The sequence below is a fragment of the Homo sapiens genome, chromosome 15 (genome assembly GCF_000001405.40).
Source record: "Homo sapiens chromosome 15, GRCh38.p14 Primary Assembly".
NCBI lineage: Eukaryota > Metazoa > Chordata > Mammalia > Primates > Hominidae > Homo > Homo sapiens.
Window position 1 is genome coordinate 59,282,663 of NC_000015.10, and position 20,404 is coordinate 59,303,066.

General features: G+C 44.1%; 1 protein-coding gene across 1 annotated transcript in view, besides 1 other annotated feature; it reads right to left on the bottom strand.

Annotated features, from left to right (window-relative positions):
• Positions 1-20,404, bottom strand: part of MYO1E (myosin IE) — a 240,438-nt gene that overhangs the window by 150,229 nt on the left and 69,805 nt on the right. The gene's annotated exons all lie outside the window — the stretch shown is intronic.
• Positions 15,613-15,672: a silencer, noted in NCBI's record as "silent region_6487". NCBI's record gives its function as "represses an Ori minimal core promoter by ATAC-STARR-seq in GM12878 lymphoblastoid cells {active_cell/tissue: GM12878}" and the evidence as "EXISTENCE:reporter gene assay evidence [ECO:0000049][PMID:35858748]".

Here is a 20,404-nt window from a genome sequence, read left to right on the forward strand (position 1 = left end):
TAGCGAGACCCCATCTCTACACAAAATCAAAACATTAGCTGGACGTGGTGGCACATGCCTGTGGTCCAGGCTACTCTCGAGAGCCGGAGGCAGGAGGATCGCTTAAGCTCAGGAGGTCAAGGCTGCAGTGAGCCGTGACTGCGTTACTGCACTACAGCCTGCGTAACAGAGCAAGACAAAGAAAGAGAAGGGAAGGAAAGGGAAGGGGGAGTGGGAGAGGGAGGGGAGGGGGGAGGGGGGGAGGGGGGAGGGGGAGGGGGAGGGGGAGGGGGAGGGGGAGGGGGAGGGGGGAGAGGGGAGGGGAAAGGGGAAAGGGGAAAGGGGAAAGGGGAAAGGGAAAGGCCTGGGCAGCCCAGGCTCTCTGAGATGCTCAGGGCATCCATCCTCCAGGGCACAAAAAGGGCTCTGGTTGCCCTCATCCCAGGGAGACGGGCGGTCAGAGGACAGTGGCTGCCTTCACAAGCCTGGTCTGGAACCCCTCAAGGTAGCTGCGCATGCATTTGAAGTGCAAATCTTAGCGAGGCTTCCCTGACCTGTCCTTGTCCATCTCTAACCCCTGCTTTCTCCGTTTTGAGGTTCCCACCACACCATTTTCTGTGCATACCATGCTGTGCTTTGTTTCTGTTTTTCCACAGTGTGTGTGTGAGGTGGGATCTTCAGTACCTACATTCCCACTGTCCCCCAGCTTAGGGTATTCTTCTATGAACTCCTCCCTACCTCAACCCAACTCTATGCCTACTAAACTCTCACCCAGCACAGGTCAGGCATCATCTTGCTAAGAAGCCTGCTCTAACAGCATTACCTGAGTGCCTGGCTCCCTGATTAAACTGACCCCTAGGACCAAGTCTTATTCACCATTCTGCCCCAAGACCTAGTAGAGTGCCATGATGCATGGCATGGGCAGCCCCCAAGTATTTGTTGAATGAATGAAATACATTATTATTATTCTCACGTAACAGCTAATTCTTATTACATACCAAGCACTGCTCTAAGCATTTTACATATAACTTATCTAATCCTTACAACTTCACGAGGCAGGAAACTGAGTGAAGCACAGAGAAGTTAAGTAACTTGCTCAGCTCCCACAGCTGGGCTTCAAACCCAGGCAGTCTGCTTCAGATCTTTGCCCTTAAACATTGTACCTACTGCCTCTCATAATAAAGTAACAGCAGTTGGAAACAGCAATAATTCTAAAGTTCATAGTAACTGCTTTATTGCATGTTTACTATGTGTCACGTATCAACTTCTTTCATCTGCCCAATGACACCACCAAGTACTTGTATTATCCTTTTTTTTACAGAAGAAAAAGAAGTACCACGTGGTAAACAGAATACCTGGTACAAAGCCCTGCAAGCTAGGAGCTCACGGAGCAGCCTGGCTCTGCACAGCCTTGCATAATGCAGAGGAAGTTCCGTGCCCTGGAGTCAGCCTTGGGATGATGTCTGCCCCCTGCCATGTCCCCACCAGGGTGGTGCCTGGGGCATGGGAGTGCCCAATCTTTACTAGCTGGGTGAATAAATTCCAGGCTACACTGACTCACCTCACAACATGTTTGCTGTAGGTACACGGCAGCACTGTGGCAGCAGCTATCGTGGGGCAAATAGGAGTCCTGGGCCCAGAGTCTGCTCCAAGGAAGAAATAAGTTTCCAAGGCGTTCCTATTTGCCCCCAACTCAGGAGATCAAAGGGAAGAGATATTGCCCCTAAACACAGTTCTCCTTCTCTTAACCATGTAAGTAGTCCAGTTAAGAGTAACAGATATTTGAGGTTGGATGATTACTATTTTATTTTTATTTTTATTTTTTTGAGACAGGGTCTCACTTTGTCACCCAGGCTGGAGTGCTGTGGCGCAAACATAGCTCACTGAGGCCTCAACCTCCAGGGCTCAATTAATCCTCCCTCCTCAGCTTCCCTAGTAGCCAGGGCTACAGGTGTGCACCACCATACCTGGCTGTGTTTCTCTACCAAAAAAAAAAAAAATTTTTTTTTTTTTTGTAGAGACAGGGTCCCACTGTGTTGCCCAGGCTAGTCTCAAACTCTTGGGCTTGAGCAATCCTCCTGCCTCAGCCTCCCAAAGTGCTGGGATTATAGGTGTAAGCCACCGTGCCCAGCCTGGATGATTAACTTTTTAAACAGAATAACAGGCAATTAATCTTCACCACATCATTAGTGAGGTAAGGACATTTCAAGCTACAGAATAATATGAATCAAATGCTTGAGATTCCTTAATATGACAAATGCTCATTTCACTTCTGCTCTGATTATATTTTAATCAAACAAGTGACAAGAGAGTCACACTGATGTTAGTCCCTGTCTTTTCAGCTGTGGCTCTGCTAGCATGTCACATACATCAAGCACTTAACAGTCCCTTAAGAGAGCTCCCACATCACCACTCTTGTTTTTAAGTGCAAAGCTCTTAGACATTCGGTAATACGATTCAGGAATGTAACTTTTCTTCCTAATCTAGCAAACTGATTAAAATCAACAGACTTGGGTACAAGCTCTACCTCTCACATGCCTCTGTGCCTTGGGCAAGGCCAGTTTCACAGAATTTTATTATTTACAGTTTTAAAGCAATCTTGCAAGGTGTGGCGGTTCATGTCCTTCATCTCAGTGGAGGCTGAGACAGAAAGATCACGTAAGGCCAGGAGTTTGAGAACAGCCTGGGCAACACGCAAGACACTGTCTCTTTTTTTTTTTTTTTTTTTTTTTTTGAGACGGAGTCTGGCTCTGTCGCCCAGGCTGGAGTGCAGTGGCACAATCTTGGCTCACTATAACCTCTGCCCCCCGGCTTCACGCCATTCTCCTGCCTCAGCCCCCCGAGTGGCTGGGCTTACAGAAGGTGCCCACCGCCACGCCCAGCTAATTCTTTTTTGTGTGTGTTTTTAGTAGAGAACTCCTGATCTTGAACTCCTGACGTCAAGTGATCCACCCACCTTGGCCTCCTCAAGTGCTGGGATTACAGGCGTGAGCCACCACGCCCGACTAGACACTGTCTTTAAAAAAAATAATAAAATCAATTAATTAATTAGCTGAAATGAATTTTAAAAATAAAAGTGAAAAAAATTTTTAAGAAAAAGAAAAGAAAAAATTAAGTCAGCCTATTAAATGCATACCAAATTAGTGTGTGCATGTCCATTAAGATTTTTATTAATCATACAGGTCGGCACAAAAGTAATTGCGGTTTTTGCCATTAATGGCACCGGCCTAATAGATTCATAAGTCAAAAATCCTACCAGACTCTGTGTCCTAATTTGTGGTTTGAAAATGATAGTCTCTGAAGTAGTAGCTGCTCAATACCTTTTTCTAATTCAATTACACAGCCAAGGTAATGAGGCAGGAAGACTAGCTAGAAACACCAGCAGCTGTGCATATAAATAAAGACAGGGAGGTAACTGAACAATTTCTTGTGACATAATATGAACTATCACCCTGTACCATGGAACAAAGAAACTCTAATTTAAATGCTATTCTGAGAAAAAGAACAGTATGCAAAGAGTTATCAGCAGGCTGTGGCAGAGTTGATATCAACCTGCCAAAAAGTCAGGACTTCCTATCCTTGGAAGAATCTCTCCTATACTGCTTGCAAAATACGCATTATTTATAAGTCATGCAAAATGCTGGAGGTATGCTGACATGAGTTAACCAACTACTCACATGTTATGGTTTTCTCAGATTGCCCTATTTTTCTGAAAAATGTTTGGGGCATATCTGAATAAGAACTCAATTTTTAAAAGTTTTATAAGGTTGATGAAATTATTTTCTCATCTCTGTCTTTTAAAAGCCAACGTGGAAACTCCACAAGAGTATAAAGAGTTGGATTTTAAGGAGCGGTGACACAGGTAAGGTGTTGGTGTGTCATCTCTCACTTAGGGGTACTGTGTCTGGACGTGCTAAGCGGGGGAAGGGTCTGGATGTGATCAGGGGTGTCTTGATGTGGGCACAGCCTTTGTTGTGGGTTTGCTATAGGGATACGGAGTCCAGGGAAACAAGCCAAGCTCAGGGGCAAGGAGCATTCCCTGAACAACCACTAGCCAACGCTGAACCAAATGCAGAAGTGAGGAATGCCTGTTTCTGGCATGGTTACTTCTGGACCCTTGGCTTGCCTGATCTGCTCTGATCTATGGCACAGTGGCACCATGTCCCTCTTGGGGCAAAATGTAACCATAAGGGCATTGGTCTAGGGGCCTTTAGGGTATCAATGACACATGTTTACAAACAGAGATCTCAGACCACAGCTGGTTGATGGGTGGCAGAGATGAGAGTCCCGTGGGCACATCTCAGGGAGAAGCCACAAGAGCAGCCACTAATCCACATGGCAGATCAGTGTCGCCAAGGGTCCTGCAGGCTCAGGGCCGCTCAATGTGTGATCACAAACAAGTTCATCCTCTCACTCCCTTCCACCACCTGACAGAGGATGCAGGGCTATCTTGCTGTTTCTTCTGATCCATACCTTGGACTTTAGGAGTGGGCTTGGGGAACTTAGAAGGGGTGGGGAAAATTAAGAACAAGCTTGATAATTCAACTAAAAGCCCTAGGATAGACATGAAGGGAGGCACTGTCTTCTAATGGGCCTGCTAGGGGCTTGTCTCTCGGAACCCACACCCAAATCGCAAGCCCAGTTTGCAGAAGGCAAGCACTGCAGCATGCAGAGACGGGAGCCTTATCTTCTATTGATGTGTCCTTCCCGACAGACTTTCTGAGGGCTACCTGCAGTTGCTGCCACCTCCCCAGCCCCAAGTTCAATCAGCAAGCTCTAGAATGAATTTGCAATAAAAACCAATTTGGAAGATCAGCACGGCTTCACTGATCTTACCAGGACCCTCACTGTTGTATGCTTCTAGGGTGGCCACAAATAGGTAGATTCTGCCTTCCTTTGATCAGCTTAGATCTTTATTAAAGGTTCAACAGCAAGCCAATAGAGCAGGTCCTCGGATGACGCCATTTTGTGATAAAGATAATGAGGAAGAAAAATGGATTCCTGGTCCAGCCAGTGAGGAGTCTGCATGTTTTTCCCATGTCTGTGAGGGTTTCCTCCCACATGCCAAAGACATGCACATTGAGTACATTGGGGTGTTGACATGGTCTCAGTCTGAGTGAATGTGGGGGATTGTGTGAGCACCCTAAGATAGGATGGCCTCCTGTCCAGGCCTGGTTCCTGCCATGCTCCCTGAGCTGCCGGGATAGACTCTGGCCACCTGCAACCCTCAACTAGAAGGAGTGGATCAGAAAATGCGTGAATGAATGATTATAAGTTATTGTCAAATGAAAACTTTTAAAGTAGATGATAGTCATACAAATACATGACAATCAACAATGTGCAGCGAAGGCGCTCAGCGAGCCTGCCATGTTCCTGATGGGTTTTGAACTGCGTGGTGCACAGAGGCACTCCTTACAGTTCTCACTTTGCAAACAATTATTCCTTAACTCAAACCCCACTACTACTACCACTGTCACTCACCGACTCACCAAATATTGGGCAAATAATTCTATTACTTTTTTTAAATTAATCTTTCTTTTCTTTTCTTTTTTGAGACAGGGTCTCACTCTGTCACCCAGGCTAGAGTGCAGTGGTGTGATCACAGCTCACTGCAGCCTGGGCCTCCTGGGCTCAAGTGATTCTTCTGCCTCGGCCTACCGAGTAGCTGGGACTACAGGTGTGTGCCACCATGTCTGGCTAATTTCTTTAGTTTTTGTAGGGATGGGGGTCTCACTATGTTGCCCAGGATGGTCTCGAACTCCTGGGTTCAAGCGATCTTCCTGCCTTGGCCTCCCAAAGTGTTGGGATTACAGGTGTGAGCTGTCATACCCAGCCCCGTTCAGTGCTTTTGAGTACATTAAAAGAGATAACGCACAGAGATTTCATATTACCCAAGCTCACAGTACCAGATGAGTAAAGTTTTGCATTGGTTATTAATAAGTGAACTGGGATACTACTAGCCACTAATATAGCTCTGATTGGATGTATGATATTTCAAGAAAGAGACTGGGTACTGTCATCTCATCTGGCTAATAAGATAATAGGAGGGACAGGATTCAAATAAAAAATATAGAACTTTTAAAGTTTCATGATGCTCAAGTGATGTATAACTGGACACTATAAATGTGAGTCAATTTGAATATGGGATTCTGAGAATAGGGATCCGCCACAGAAAAGAAGACGACAGACAGTAGCTGCAGAGAAGATACATAGGGAGTTCAGCAGGCTAACCAAAATGGAAGCCAGTGACAAAGACCATTTGAGCAACAGACTGATGCCTTGTAGGCAAAAAATTAAGGTGTTTAAACAAACAACAAAGTGGCAGGGATAAGGAAGGGGCAGAATACTTACATATTTACATTCAGAACCCTAAAATATTGTAGCTGGAAGGGGCCTGGCCTATCGATTAAGCAGTGCAAAACTTTTACTTTACAGATGAGGGACCTGAGGGCCAGAGAGGTGAAAGGATGTGTCCACGGGGCCATCCTGGACTGGAACCAGGACTAGAACTCGGGTCCTCTGACTCCCAGCCCAGCACTGTGCAGCTCTCTGCTTCCAGTCCCTCCTGAGCAAATCTGTACCAAAAGTTTTTTGTTTCTGGGAAGAAAAATAAGGCACTATTTTGGATGCTTACCATAAAATAATCAGCTGAATCCAGGCATTTATATAATTTGAATTTCTCAAATAATAAGTAATACCATTTGTGAGCCCTGACCCTCTGGCAATCAAACTGCATGAGGAGACTGGGGTCCATCCAAATATTATATATGGGAGCAGCTCAATTTCATCTTAGTTTTTAATGTAAAGATAAATACAAATTAGGTTTTAATATTTTCTTTCCAGTGAGTTTCCTTGCACATAAAAGTGCATAGACCCCACTTTGGAGATCTCTTTCCCAGAACCCCTTGTCATCCACCCAAGACACAGGTGTCTGCTTATGGGAAGAAAGTAAGAGTTAAGGCATTGGCTTGAAATCTAGAAACAAGACAGACAGAAAGGAAAAAGGCAATCTCCAGAAGATGAGGGGCAATGCCAGCAGAAATTAGAAAGCTGTCATCTAGTTAGAGATCTCTGGCTGTAGCATTTCAAGGTGTTCCTTCTGCCAGTAACTCTCTCCTGCCAGAATCACTAAAACTGAAAGCAAAACACAAACTGACCATGTCTGATGTGATTATGGACATGGTTGGGTCACACCAGTTTAAAACTCACAACTCCCTAGAAAATCCAAGGAAATTTTTGCATTTCCTTCTCCAAGAATACTTACTTCTCATTGTATCTGTGAAATATAATATGGCATCAAAAGGGCAACCCACATCAAGAAGTGTGCCCCACAATGTTTGGGGATCGGGGAACGGGCATCACTTTTCTTGAGCACCAACCATGTTCCCAATGCTACGTTAGGTGCTTTGCGTACATTGTTTCATTTGGTTTCAAAAGAATTCTAGAAACAGGGAGGTACTGTGATCCCCATTTAACAGATGAAAAACTTGGTGACAGAGTGTGTGTGTCCATGGAATCCAGATTTGTACTGGTTTGGTGGCTTTAGAAACCTGGCAGCTTCTATTAAGGCTACGGTAGAAGACAGAAGAAATGGATTCCCCACTCGGTGAAAATATCTCACGGGAGATGTCCTCTGAGAGCCAGGTTTCATATGCAACCCTTGAAGCTGCCTTTAGATCCCACAGTGGTAAACTGGATGAAGTGTTACCTTGGCTACGGAACAGAGCTACCCTTTCTAAACAGAGGGACATTTTGGGTACCTTGAATGACTGACTCTTAGAAAGATCACGGGCACAGGAGATGCCTCAGCAAAGCTGAGATCAGAGCTTTGGAGCCACCCTGCGACATCTTTGGGCCTCTGCCTTGTCTCCTTGAAAGCATGCCTCGTAGCCAGCTTCAAAGTCAGACTCCCCATGCCTGGTGTTCAGTAACAGCGGGCTTCTCATTCAAAAATTTTGCAGAGGTAATAGACTGTGACTTTCTTTTGTGACAACGGTGCCTCAGCACAATCAGACAACTTGAATATGTTTAAAATAACCTTGCAGAAATCCTCAGAAAAAGTAGGCAAGATAGACATCAATTGCCAAAACAGTCCCAGCTAGGGATCCACTGGAGGAATTTTTAACATAGTTTCCAAAGTCAAACAGCATGCCACTCTCAACCCTGCAAAGTCAGAGCTGGTAGTAAATGCTGGGTTCCCTTGCTGTACTGACAGGAATGAGAGTCAAAGGTGCTGAGATAAACACACAAATTATCTCAAAGCAGTAATAGTAAAAATCATTTTATGCAAGGAATGGAGACCAACTGATACCCACTCTCCGCATTAGGTAGAAAAGAGTGTGCTCACACAATTAAAGTACAAGACGGCATGCTCGATTTGGGGCAGGACAGTGAATAGAAAACAGAAGTCAACATCACCACCTCAAACAGAGCGTTGTGCTCACAAACTGCCAGCAAGACCACAAGCATATCTGCAAAAACATTTGCATGGTTTCTGGTTGCAAAAATGCTGAAAGGATTTGTACGATACTCTGTTCCCAAGTGCACAAAAGTCTCTTTCTACCTGAGCCCAGCGACCCAAAATATGAAGAAAAGCAGCACCAGTACTCCTGATATTCTTTGCTGGTCTGTGACCCCTTCCTTTCCTTGGAGTTGGACCAAAAACACAGTATTACCTCCTAATCAAATAACCAACACCCAAAGATACCTGGGTGTGACTACATGTCAATTCAAGTTCACCGGAGTTAAAAGGAAAAGGTTTCACCGATTGTTTGTTGGTGTTTGTTGGAGGCTGGTGTGTTTAAGATACAGAAGTAGCTGCTAGCTTTGCACTAAAACAAACAAACAAAAGCACATTTCAATTATTTTTTATTTATTTTTTAAATTTAGTGCAGCAAAAAGAGAACAAAGGTGGCCAGGCGTGGTGGCTCACACCTGTAATCCCAGCACTTTGGGAGGTCAAGGCGTGCGGATCACCTGAGATCAGGAGTTTGAGATTAGCCTGGCCAACATGGTGAAATCCCGTCTCTACTAAAAATACTAAAAAAAAAAAAAAAAAAAAAAAAAAAAAAGAGAGAGAGAGAGAGAAAACAAAGATTAACAAAAAGAGAAATAGCTTGAGATGCCGAGGAAGATAAAAAGCAAATGATTTAAATTAAACATGAGGGAAACATTAAAGAAGGGAAGGAAATAAAACAACCCTAGGGATCTAAATAGACAACAAAGAAAAGTTGTTTGATCACAGGGCAAGCAGTATGAATAAATCAAATACCATAAATGCTCTAAAGGAAAAAAAAATTTTAAAAAGTTTCCTTCCAACTCTCATTCTAAGGAAACCACAGCTCTTTTGCTTAGTATAACTATAGTTCACATGCTAAATAGCTAAATTCAGCTTTTTAAAATCTACCCAACACTCTCTAGATTTAAAAATGTAAGTAAACCGTTCAGATCCTATTGTTAAGTAAATTTTGTTTGGTGAGTGGATTTGTTTTGAGTGGCTGTGGATAAAGGCAAGGGGTGATTTTATTTTACTGGTCATTTAAAGATTACATTCTTTTTAAAGAAAAAAATCTATGATAGTTTTACAGGATTTCAAGGCAAATTCATCAGTTTTGTTTCAAACACACCCAATGGGTGTTTCCCTTGTCTCCAAATGAAAAGCCTTAATCCACCTTTTCCTACATGTGTTTCTACAGCATCTTCTGGCTGTGAGTTTGTACACCACTACAGAATTATTATTACTATTTCAACTCCCATGAAATGTACTACGACTGGCAGGCATATGAGTTCTGAAATTTAAAGTGCGTTACTAGAGAAACTAAAACTCATGTTGGCCGCAAGGATGGACAACAATACGAAATGCTACAGATGGCAATGGGAGGCCTAAAACAATGTGCAGTTCCTTTCTATTCTGGTTTGCCCCATTGTGTTCTGAATAGACTGAATCACTGCCCAGCTTCAGGGCCAGCCTCTGAAAGGCCCCATTGTAAGGGCTATGCTTTCCAGAGCAGAGTTAAGGTTGCTGTAGTAACCTTCACTATGAATTTCCTGACCAGTGTGATGAAAATCTCAACTGAACTGCGACAGTACTACAGCTACAAACAAGACCGCGAAATGAGCGTGGGTCTACCCATTTAGGGGGTCTTTCTTATCTGAACATAGCCCACTATCTACTACTTCAGGCATCCACATTGCCAAAGAAGGGACTAAATTTCTACAAGCCAGAGCTTGAGAGGTGACCTTGTTGTATAAAGTCTCAGGGGGATCTATCCCATAGGATTTGAGGTGGCAGGCAAATGGGAGTTTGTAGACAAAGGGGAGGCCTCGGCTCATAAACTGTTTAAGCTGTCCTGTGTGCTGGGCTGGGGAAGCCACTTTTCTGGAGTTGCACAGGGAGGCATGGGGGTACCATTGGTCCAAACACCACAGGTAAGGAATAAGTCTGCACTGAGTGGGAGAAAACAGTTTAGAATTCAGCAAGGCACCCTTTTTATTCTGCTAGGAAAAGAAGGGCAACGGACAATCACCCCCATCTACCAGATGGAAGGCACACTGGCTTAGAATGAAACCCCCTCCCAGTTAAGTTTATTGAGGGTTCCCTATCTGCCAAGCAACATTCTAAGCACTTTACTTATACTAACTCATTCAATTGTCCCAACAGTCCATAATGCTGGCATGATTATTAACTTGAGGTCAGGAGTTTGAGACCAGCCTGGCCAACATGGTGAAACCCCATCTCTACTAAAAATACAAAAATTAGCCAGGCGTGGTGGCAGGCACCTGTAATCCCAGCTACTTGGGAGACCAAGGCAGGAGAATCGCTTGAACCTGGGAGGTGGAGGTTGCAGTGAGCCAAGATCACACCACTGCACTCCAGCCTGGGTGACAGAGTGAGACTCCCTCTAAAAAAAAAAACAAAATAAAATAAATAATTTTTGTGAAATTAAAAAATATGTATAAAGCTAATGAAATTCAGCTGAATCTAAAATATTAAGCCCCTAACATATGTACAGTGTTGTTTTAGGCATCACAGTGAATTCAGAAAAGGTAAATGAAGCCCTCAAAAGTTTTTTCATCTGATGTAGCAAAAACAAAACAAAACAAAAAACCCTGATATATGGGCCAGCTGTGGTGGCTCACGCCTGTAATCCCAGCACTTTGAGAGGTTGAAGTGGGTGGATCACTTGAGCCTAGGAGTTTGAGACTAGCCTGGGAAACATGGTGAAACCCTGTCTCTACTAAAAATGCAAAAGTTAGCCAGGCATGGTGGCGCATGCCTGTGGTCCCTGCTACTTGGGAAGCTGAGGTGGAGAAATGCTTGAGCCTGAGAAGTCAAAGCTGCAGTGAGCCATGATTGTACCACTGCATTCCAGCCTGGGCAACAGAGCAAGACCCTGTCTCAAACAAAACAAAATAACAACAGAAACCCTGACATATATACAGAACTGATACTCAGTTCCCACTGGAAAGAGCGTCTGGCTGGCTTCCACCCTGATTGTTCGGTATTCATGTTGCTAACTATTTAAACATTTTATATCACCCCTGCTTATGTTAACCAACTAGACAAACTGTAACAGTCTGAGATGGTTTGGTGTGAGTTCTATCTCATGATCGTGCCCCTTAGAGGTCTCTCGGATTTTCCTGGGCCAGCTGCTTCAAAGGCAGATATCCCTCATTCTCTGAGGTCCAAAATCAGGAACTAAATAGATCTGTATAAAATTTTTGATAAATCACCTCTTATCTGGAATCTCACTACTTCCTATTCCAAATAGATTTGGACAAAGGAGCATTCCTTATTCCCAAATGTCCTACCCAAACCCCATTGAACTTGGAAATAAACAGCTTTGGATAGTGAGAGATAGCTGTGCTTGGTCACGTCATGCCATATACCACAAAATGTCCTGGAAATGCCAGTATCTTTGCCCTCCCGCTTTCAATTGTCAATGGCAGCCACAGGAACTCAAGGGAGAACACAGGCCTTCTTGGCTCCCTTGCCCCTGTCGTTTCAGCCCCCACAGGACGGGGGTTTGACTCTTCCTAACAGCCAGGGTTTCTCTTGCCCTCAGGGGAGCTCCTCCCTACCAGTCAGTGAGGTTCAAATTCCTTAGCCTAGCTCATAGCCCACTCTCCTTGCCAGTGCTATTTCCCACAATGCCTCATGCTCCTGCCACCAGTCTGCCTGGGGCTCTTTGCATGGAACATCTGACCTCTGCATCTTAGTCCATGATGTTCTCACCACCTGGACCAAATATCCTGCATGTTCAATCTAGTCCATCCTTGAAGACCCCATGCAAATGCTACCTCTTTAAAGCCTGCAAGTTCCCAGATTATCGGTAATCTTGTCTGTCCTCTGACCCCCACTGTTGGCTTATTTATATCTCCTCTCCCTCCCTTTCTCAACTGTAAGTGACCTGAGGATGGGGCATGCCTCATCTCTGAACTCTCCTTGTCCTAATAAAGAGCCATGCACATAAGTGGCTTTATAAATGCCTGTTCAATGAAGTAATGAATGAGACAAAATCACTAAAAGTTGAGTCATCCTAGGAGGCTTCAGGGAGATCAGATTTGAGTTAGGACTGAAAAAAGCTTAAGCACTGAATTGGGAGAGAGGAGGAAAAAAAAGGCATTCCTGAGAGGGAAACAAGGAGAGTAAAGGCATGGACGAGGGTAACAACATCGCTTGTGTTTGCACTGAGCTTTTCACCACGTGAAAACCCCCTAAAAAGACCAACTGGACTAGAAAGGCGGATTTGTGTTGAGGAAACGGTAGCCTCGGTTAAGTAGGAAAATAGAGCTGACCGAAGGAGGGCCAGGAAGGCAAGGCTGAGTACTTGGCACTACAGACAGGAAACAGGCAGCCAAGATGGAATCTCCATCAGAGGGTGCAGCCCAGGTCATGCAGAAAAACTGTCTTCTTTCCAGAGGGAAAGGGACCAACTACTGTAGTCAGATCCCCATCCAGCGAGAGAAAATAATGCCACCTCGCATTTGCTCCCAGTGTTTCACAACTTAGCCGTTAATCATCCCAGGAGAGTCCTAAAACAACTCTGCCAGGAGGGCGGAGAGCAGGTATAATTATCTCGGTGTTACAGCGTGGAAAGGCTGGCAAAATTCCCCTCCTGCTTTGGAGGACCCCAAAGGAGTGGAAGAGACGGGGAAGGACTGATGTGCAAATTTCCGGTCCAGCTCATCTGCTTTGGAGAACTTACCTCTGTGTATCTGTCTAGTGTAACAATGGCTATGTCACTTACTGCGGGGTTATTATTAAGCTGAGCTGTGAGTCCCTCTGTGTGCTCAATCTCGCCTACTTAGACCTAAAGAGGGGGCAGGAGGAGGGAACCAGAACCAGCAGTGGAGCTAGACTGCTTTTAACCCAGAGACAGAGAAAAAACAAACAGCTCTTTAAAAACACAATTTCTAAGCATACTAAAAGGTAGCAATTCCAGCCTAAAAGCCTGTCAGCTTAGCAATGCACCACCCTAAAGAAAGGGCAAAATTATCAAGGCATAGAAAAGCAAGAGACATCACGCTGTGGATAAAGGACCCTGCTCTATGCCAACTTCTAAGTAAGACGAGGAATTACAGTAATCCAGCCCACAGCAATTTCCCATTTTAACTGATGCTTCCTGTTTTCTATGCTGGGCATCATAAGGATATTCAGAACCAAACACAGCGTTCACAGGCTGTCCCTTCACTGGGGTACATTCTTTTCTGTTCACTCACCAAATTGTGTGCAACATTACAAACCAAAACAGATCTGTTTTCCTACTGACCTCAATTTGCGGCCACCATTACTGTTGCTGAGAAAATTCTTGGCTCTGCATGGCAGAGCGGGGGCTCCTACCAACACAGGCCAGCATGAAGGCCTAGGGAGAACAGCTCATTTGCCCAGCAGTTCCCTGGGCTTAATTGCCCTTGAAACACAGTCGGGACGTGCTGGTAGGTGTCTCTCTGCAGGCACTGTCCACATCAACTGGAGTGACTTGATTTTGGAGGAAGGGTGAGGGGCAGAGGGGATGGAGACCTCTTCCAGTCCTTTTAGTGATTGCTGATCCATCCCAGAGTAAAGCAGACAACTGGGTTTTCTGTTTGTTTTGTGTTTGAGTGCAGGACAATGAAGGTAGGGCTGTTTAAACCATCTATTTTTAAATTCAATACAACAGTTACACAAATATACAAAGAATTCACATACTTTTTTCTTTTTTTTTTTTTTTTTTGAGATGGAATCTCGCTCTGTCGCCCAGGCTGAAGTGCAGTGGCATGATGTCGGCTCACTGCAAGCTCCGCCTCCCGGGTTCACGCCATTCTTCTGCCTCAGCCTCCCGAGTAGGTGGGACTACAGGCGCCCGCTACCACGCCCGGCTAATCGCCCGGCTAATTTTTTGTGTTTTTTTGTAGAGACAGAGTTTCACTGTGTTAGCCAGGATGGTCTCGATCTCCTGACCTCATGATCCACTCGCCTCGGCCTCCCAAAGTGTTGGGATTACGGGCGCGAGCCACCGCACCCGGCCAGGAAATTTAACATCGATAGAATACTTTTTATACAAGTCAATATTCTAATTTTATTATCCCAATCATGTCCTTTATTACTTATTTTTTCCCCTGGTGCAGGATCATGTACCACATTTGTCAGAATTTTTTTTTTTTTAGAGACAGGGTCTTACTCTGTCACCCAGGCTGGAATGCAGTGGCACGATTTCAGCTCACTGCAACCTCCGCCTCCTGGTTCAAATGATTCTCCTGCCTCAGCCTCCTGAGTAGCTGGGATTTCAGGTACGCACCACCACACCCAGCTAATTTTTTTTTTTTTTTTTTTTTTTTAGTAGGGATGGGGTTTTTGCCATGTTGGCCAGGCCAGTCTCAAACTCCTGACCTCAGGTGATCTGCCTGCCTCAGCCTCCCAAAGTGCTGGGATAAAAAGCCACCATGTCTGGCTTTTAAAATTTTTATAATTTTTTGAGACAGGGTCGTGCTCTTGTGGCCTGGGCTGGAGTACAGTGGTGCGATGAGGGCTCACTGCCACCTCGACCTCCTGGGCTCAAGTGATCCTCCCACCTCAGCCCTGGAGTAGCTGGGACTACAGGTGTGCACTACCATGCTTGGCTAATTTTTTTGAATTTTAGTACAGATGAGGTCTCACTATGTTGCCCGGGTTGGTCTTGAACTCCTAAGCTCGAGTGATCCTCCCACCGTGGGCTTTGAAAGTGCTGGGATTACAGGCATGAGTTTTCCTTTGTCTTTTATGATGGTGACATTTTAAACAGTTCAGGCAAGTTATTTTATAGAATTTCCCTCCATTTGAGTTTGCCTGATATTTGTCATACTTAGATTCATCTTTCACATTTTTGACTAGAATTCTAGGCAAATAATTTTGTGTCCTTCTGAGGGCATGATGTCCAGAGGTACATGATATTTGTAGGTGATATTCACTTTCATCATTTGGTTAAGTATTTTCCAACTTCCCCACTGCGTAATTTTTCCTATTACAAATGCAAAGTGATTTGTGGTGAGATACTTTGCGACTATGTAAATATCCTGTTCCTCATCAAACCTTAAGAACTGACTGAAAAAATTTACATTTACAAATCTAGTTATTTGGTACCCTGGGGGAATGTATTAAACTCCGAAACTGAGTTTTTCAGACAGTCAAGGGCCATGGAGTATGTGTTTGGGCTTCTTAGATACATGACTTCCTCACAGCCCGCTGAGTTCCAGAGAGGCTGAGGTTGCCCGATAGCTGTGCCCTGATCAGTGATACTGCGTTCTACCTCCACAAGGTGTGAAATCATGCATTCCTAGAAGCTGAACTGAAAACCAGAACTATGAGTCAAGGTGATTCTTAATGGCCCAGACAGCACTGTGGGAAGAGGCATAGAAGGAAATCAGGTCTGTCCATATGCAAAGCTGCTATGTGTGGGATGTTCACGTCTGGTTTCCTCCCTCGGGGTGCCTGTGAACCTCACCCCTGCTCCAATCCTGTTCCCCCTCTCTTCCTTGACTACAGTGGCATTAAATAAGAACCTATTTAAAGGGTAGAAATGGAAGGAGTTCTTTCAGACCAGATCGCTTAAATCCAGGTGAGGACTGGGGGTAAAGGACAACATGAGTGAAAAGGATGGAGTCCAATCATTCAGTTCAAAGAGGTTGCCAACATCTGTCCTTGAATCACAAAGAGGAAAGTTCTTCTCTATGCCCAACCTTTGATTCCCGCCATTCTTGTTTCCACAAGGGAATCTGCTGCCACCTGGGATAACCATTAAACATTTTCTTTTTGCTAAAAATTATTGTGTGGAAATATTACCTCAGATGACTTTGTTATACAAGAACCACCACTTCCACAACTACAGTGACTGGGATAGATCCTCAGAAAAAAAGCCTGGTCTCTATGGCAAATTATCACAGACATGAAGGCCAGTGAGCTTATTCAGAGGCCAAAGATTCTTGCTCTGCCAATATTACGGCCACATGTTTTACAAGCCTGGAGTCCATTTCTTAAAGGTATGTGTGTAGGTTCGTGATTTTAATATTAATAGCTACTGCTGACACATCACTGGAAAAACACAGGTTTTCCATTTTGACGGTAAAAGGTTTACATTTAGGATTCATTTATCCCTCCCTTAGCTTGAGTAATGAGATACAAATTACTGGTAGTGCCCTCCAAAATTCCTCAGGCTTCATAAACACAAACAGGAATTGGCAATAACAGTAATTACAGGGATGGCATTTTTTAAATAGCCGCCGCACTCTTGTGGTTTTCTTTCCTGAACTGCATCCTATATTTTTCATTTATTCAATCATTCACTGATTCAATCATTTCACCTAGTCAACAAAACTTATGTTAGGCCTTGGGGATAGGATGATGTTTTAAAAAGATACAAAGGTTTACAAATTAATTACTTAAGTCTGCATTTATAGTTCCACTGTGAAGAAATGGGCTTTGTTGCCATAAGATTCAATTCTTTCATCTTCTAAAAATCCTGAGTGAGCTATGAAGAAAAAGAATATAAATGCAATTCACTCCGAAGTGTGAAATATTACCCCTGGCTACCAGGTAAGCTGAGAAGACTGTGAGTTCACACAAATCATTGATCTTTCTTGACAACTGAATCCTAACCTGATGACCCCATTTAAAGAAACTCTGTAGTTTCATTTTAGAAACACCAGCCCAAATTCTGACGATAATTAGCTCTAATCATCATTTATGCCATTTAAATTAAGTTGATTAGATTTTCCCTAACAATTTTCCACTCAGAAGTTGCTATTTTAAAAATCTCAATGCCCAGCTGTGAGACGCACAAATTTGGTGTGAGGTATGTGATACCATCTCCTATCTGGCAAAGGTTTTAAATATCCTAACTGGAACCCCTAAATCTTTAATGTAATGTAAGATCTCCGTGAGATATACTTTGTCACCACTGAGAAGCTAAAAGGGCATTTGAGCAACTGTTCACCACAAACCAGTCAGCTACTTTATAATTTATCATCTGGTGAAATCCTAAGAGCCTGGGCTTTGGGTCCTCTTGAATCTCTTCTAGATGAAAATCTTGGGCAGTTCTTCCCAACCAGCATGCCTGGCAATGAATGCCAGTCCCTAGGAAAAGGCTGAAGGGGGTGCTGGGTTTTCCTGTTCCCATGGCTCTGCCTGCCCAGCACGCGCACACACACACACACACAGACACACACACACACGCACGGTCATTTCTGGTGCACACAGGCACACACACACGGCCATTTCTGGTGTGCACACACACCCCCATTCCCATTTCTGAGTCTTTATTGGCAAAGATACTTCTAGAGGCTTAGAACCACTGGACACTCCCACAAACATCTTCAGACACCACCCTCCCCACCCACTGCTATTTCCCCACTCTGCCCGCTCATTCTCAGACCTAAGCACAAGAGGAAGTGAGTCTACCCATGATGCGGTCACACTTTTTGAAACCTGGAAGTGGGCCACATGTTGTAAAAGGAAGCTGAACGCTGGTGCACTGATCTAGAAACCTGTGATCGCCTTCTAGCTATAAATCTTCCGGGGTTCCCATTAAAAAAGAAATTCCCAAACTGCCCCTCTTTTGTTGGAGCTATGATTATGAAAAATCCTGACAGGCTTTCTTGAAGGTCTCACAGGCTAGCTCTAAGAAGCTAGCCAAACGATAAAATCACAATCATAACAAACTCTTGGAGGAGGGAGCTTATTGTATATCTTTCTTTTTTTCCTTTTTTTTCTTTTTTTTTTTTTTTTTTTGAGACAGAGTATTGCTCTGTTGCCCAGGCTAGAGTGCACTGGCACCATGCCAGCTCATTGCAACCTCTGCCTCCCATGTTCAAGAGATTCTCCTGCCTCAGCCTCTGGAGTAGCTGGGATTACAGGCACATGCCACCATACCTGGCTAATTTTTGTACTTTTAGTAGACATGGTGCTTCACCATGTTGGCCAGGCTGGTCTTGAAATCCTGACTTCAGGTGATACGTCTGCCTCGACCTCCTAAAGTGCTAGGTGTGAGCCACCGCACCTGGCACATTTGTTTTCCTTTTTAAATTTTATCAGTGGCAGCCTCTGAATCCTCAAGATGTATTAAAAATGTCTTCCTAATTAATGTCTCCACTCTCTTTTGAGGAAAATATGGATTCAACAATAAGAATGTATCTTTACATCTGAGCATTTAAAAATAGATTAATTCTCCCATTTATACTATAGCAACTTGTAGTCAACAAAATTTCCCTTCTCTTTTCCTCAGAAATGCCCTCATTCCCAGGAAATTTTACCCCAGTCTGCTGGGAGCAGGAACATCTCTGTGCAATCCTGAAAGCCAGCCTTCTTTTGAGATGCCCTCATCCCCTCACCGACTCAACAGCCCTGCCTTAAGTGAAAGCACCTAGGACCCTCAACTGTGTCTCCTGGGCTAATGCCCGAAGGCTATAATGTTTAATTGAAGAGATCTTCTTGGATGCTGAGAGGAATAAAGTCAGTCAGTAACAACCACTCTCCTCGGTCCTTGAGGCAGCTTTATTGTGGCTAAGTCCATATTCTGCCATGACCTGGCAGAGAGAAGAGGCTTAGCACTGGAGCCTGCTGGAGCCTGAAGAGCGGACTCCAAATTCCTCTTCTGCGACTTACTACTGGCTGGGTGGCCCAGGGGATTCTCTTTAACTCTTTTGTTTCCAACCTCACAGGGTTGACTTCCAAGATAGAGAACGGGAAAGCTAACCTGAAGATGTCATATCAATGAGTTATTTTGATAACATCAAGAGATCATCTGTGATACTACTGATTCGTTTTTCCTAATACATACCCTCATCCTAATTGCTATGCACTCAAATAACTTACCTTCCCCTGCCCTCAAACCCATTTTCAAACTAATGCAAACAGAACACCTACGTAAAGGTAGGTTCGTCCCCTGCCTGGCAGAACTAAAGCCTCTGTTGGAGGTAATAAGAACATGGGGTCTGGCCAATTCTCAGGAAAGTCCCAGGCACCATGAGCATCAGATGTGGGGAGAAAAAAAGGCAGGAAAAGTTAGAAAAGAGTACACCTTGAGGCTAACAGAAACCAGCGTGCCAATGAGGGGATCAGTTTGTGACTCAAGTAAGATTTAGGGACATGTCCAATTAACGAAGGCACTGTCCTAAATGTCTTGAGAAAAAAGGCACCCCAAAATAGACCTTCTATATGATCACAGACATTAACATGCCATCTTGAAATGGCAACATACTGCAAAAGAATGCTGACAAGGTGAGACGCGGGGCAGTGTGCTGGGTAGACAAGGCCAGTATTTAGAAGTCAGAACACCTTAGCTGGGTGACCACTGCAGTCACTTAAGGCCGCTTAGTCTCACTTTCCTCATCCATGACAAGGGTGCCACAATCTAACTCATGAGGCCAGGAGGAAAAGTTCTGTGTCTAGGACTCATCTGTATTATTGGATTTCACATGTCGTCTTGACCTTAATTAGACATAACACAACTGATTTTTTGACTAGGCGCTGCATGCCACCTGAGCAAAGAAATCTGTCTCTTTTTCTCTGAATCTCCAGAGTCCATCTAACACAGTGCCTGACACACCTTGGGGCTTGATCAATTTTATTCCATTTACAACTGAAAAATGAGGTGTAAAGTAATACATTATAAACTCTGGACACTATATAAATTATACAAATATGTTAAAAATTATTGAAAGTAAATAAAAGACACTTGCCAATTTAGAAGCTAAAAATGGCATTGGAAGTTAAGGACTGGTAAAGCTGTCTCCAGTCCTGCCCAGGGGAGAAGGACATTTTGACCAGGGCACCTATGAATACAATCTCTTAGGCCAAGGCATCTCTAGAGTGGAGAAAGGAAACTTTCAGTTGTTGTCTGGTGAGAATACCCCTCAGAATCACTCCAAGCCACCTACATATTAACTGGTTCCCACACAGAAGAAAATGTAA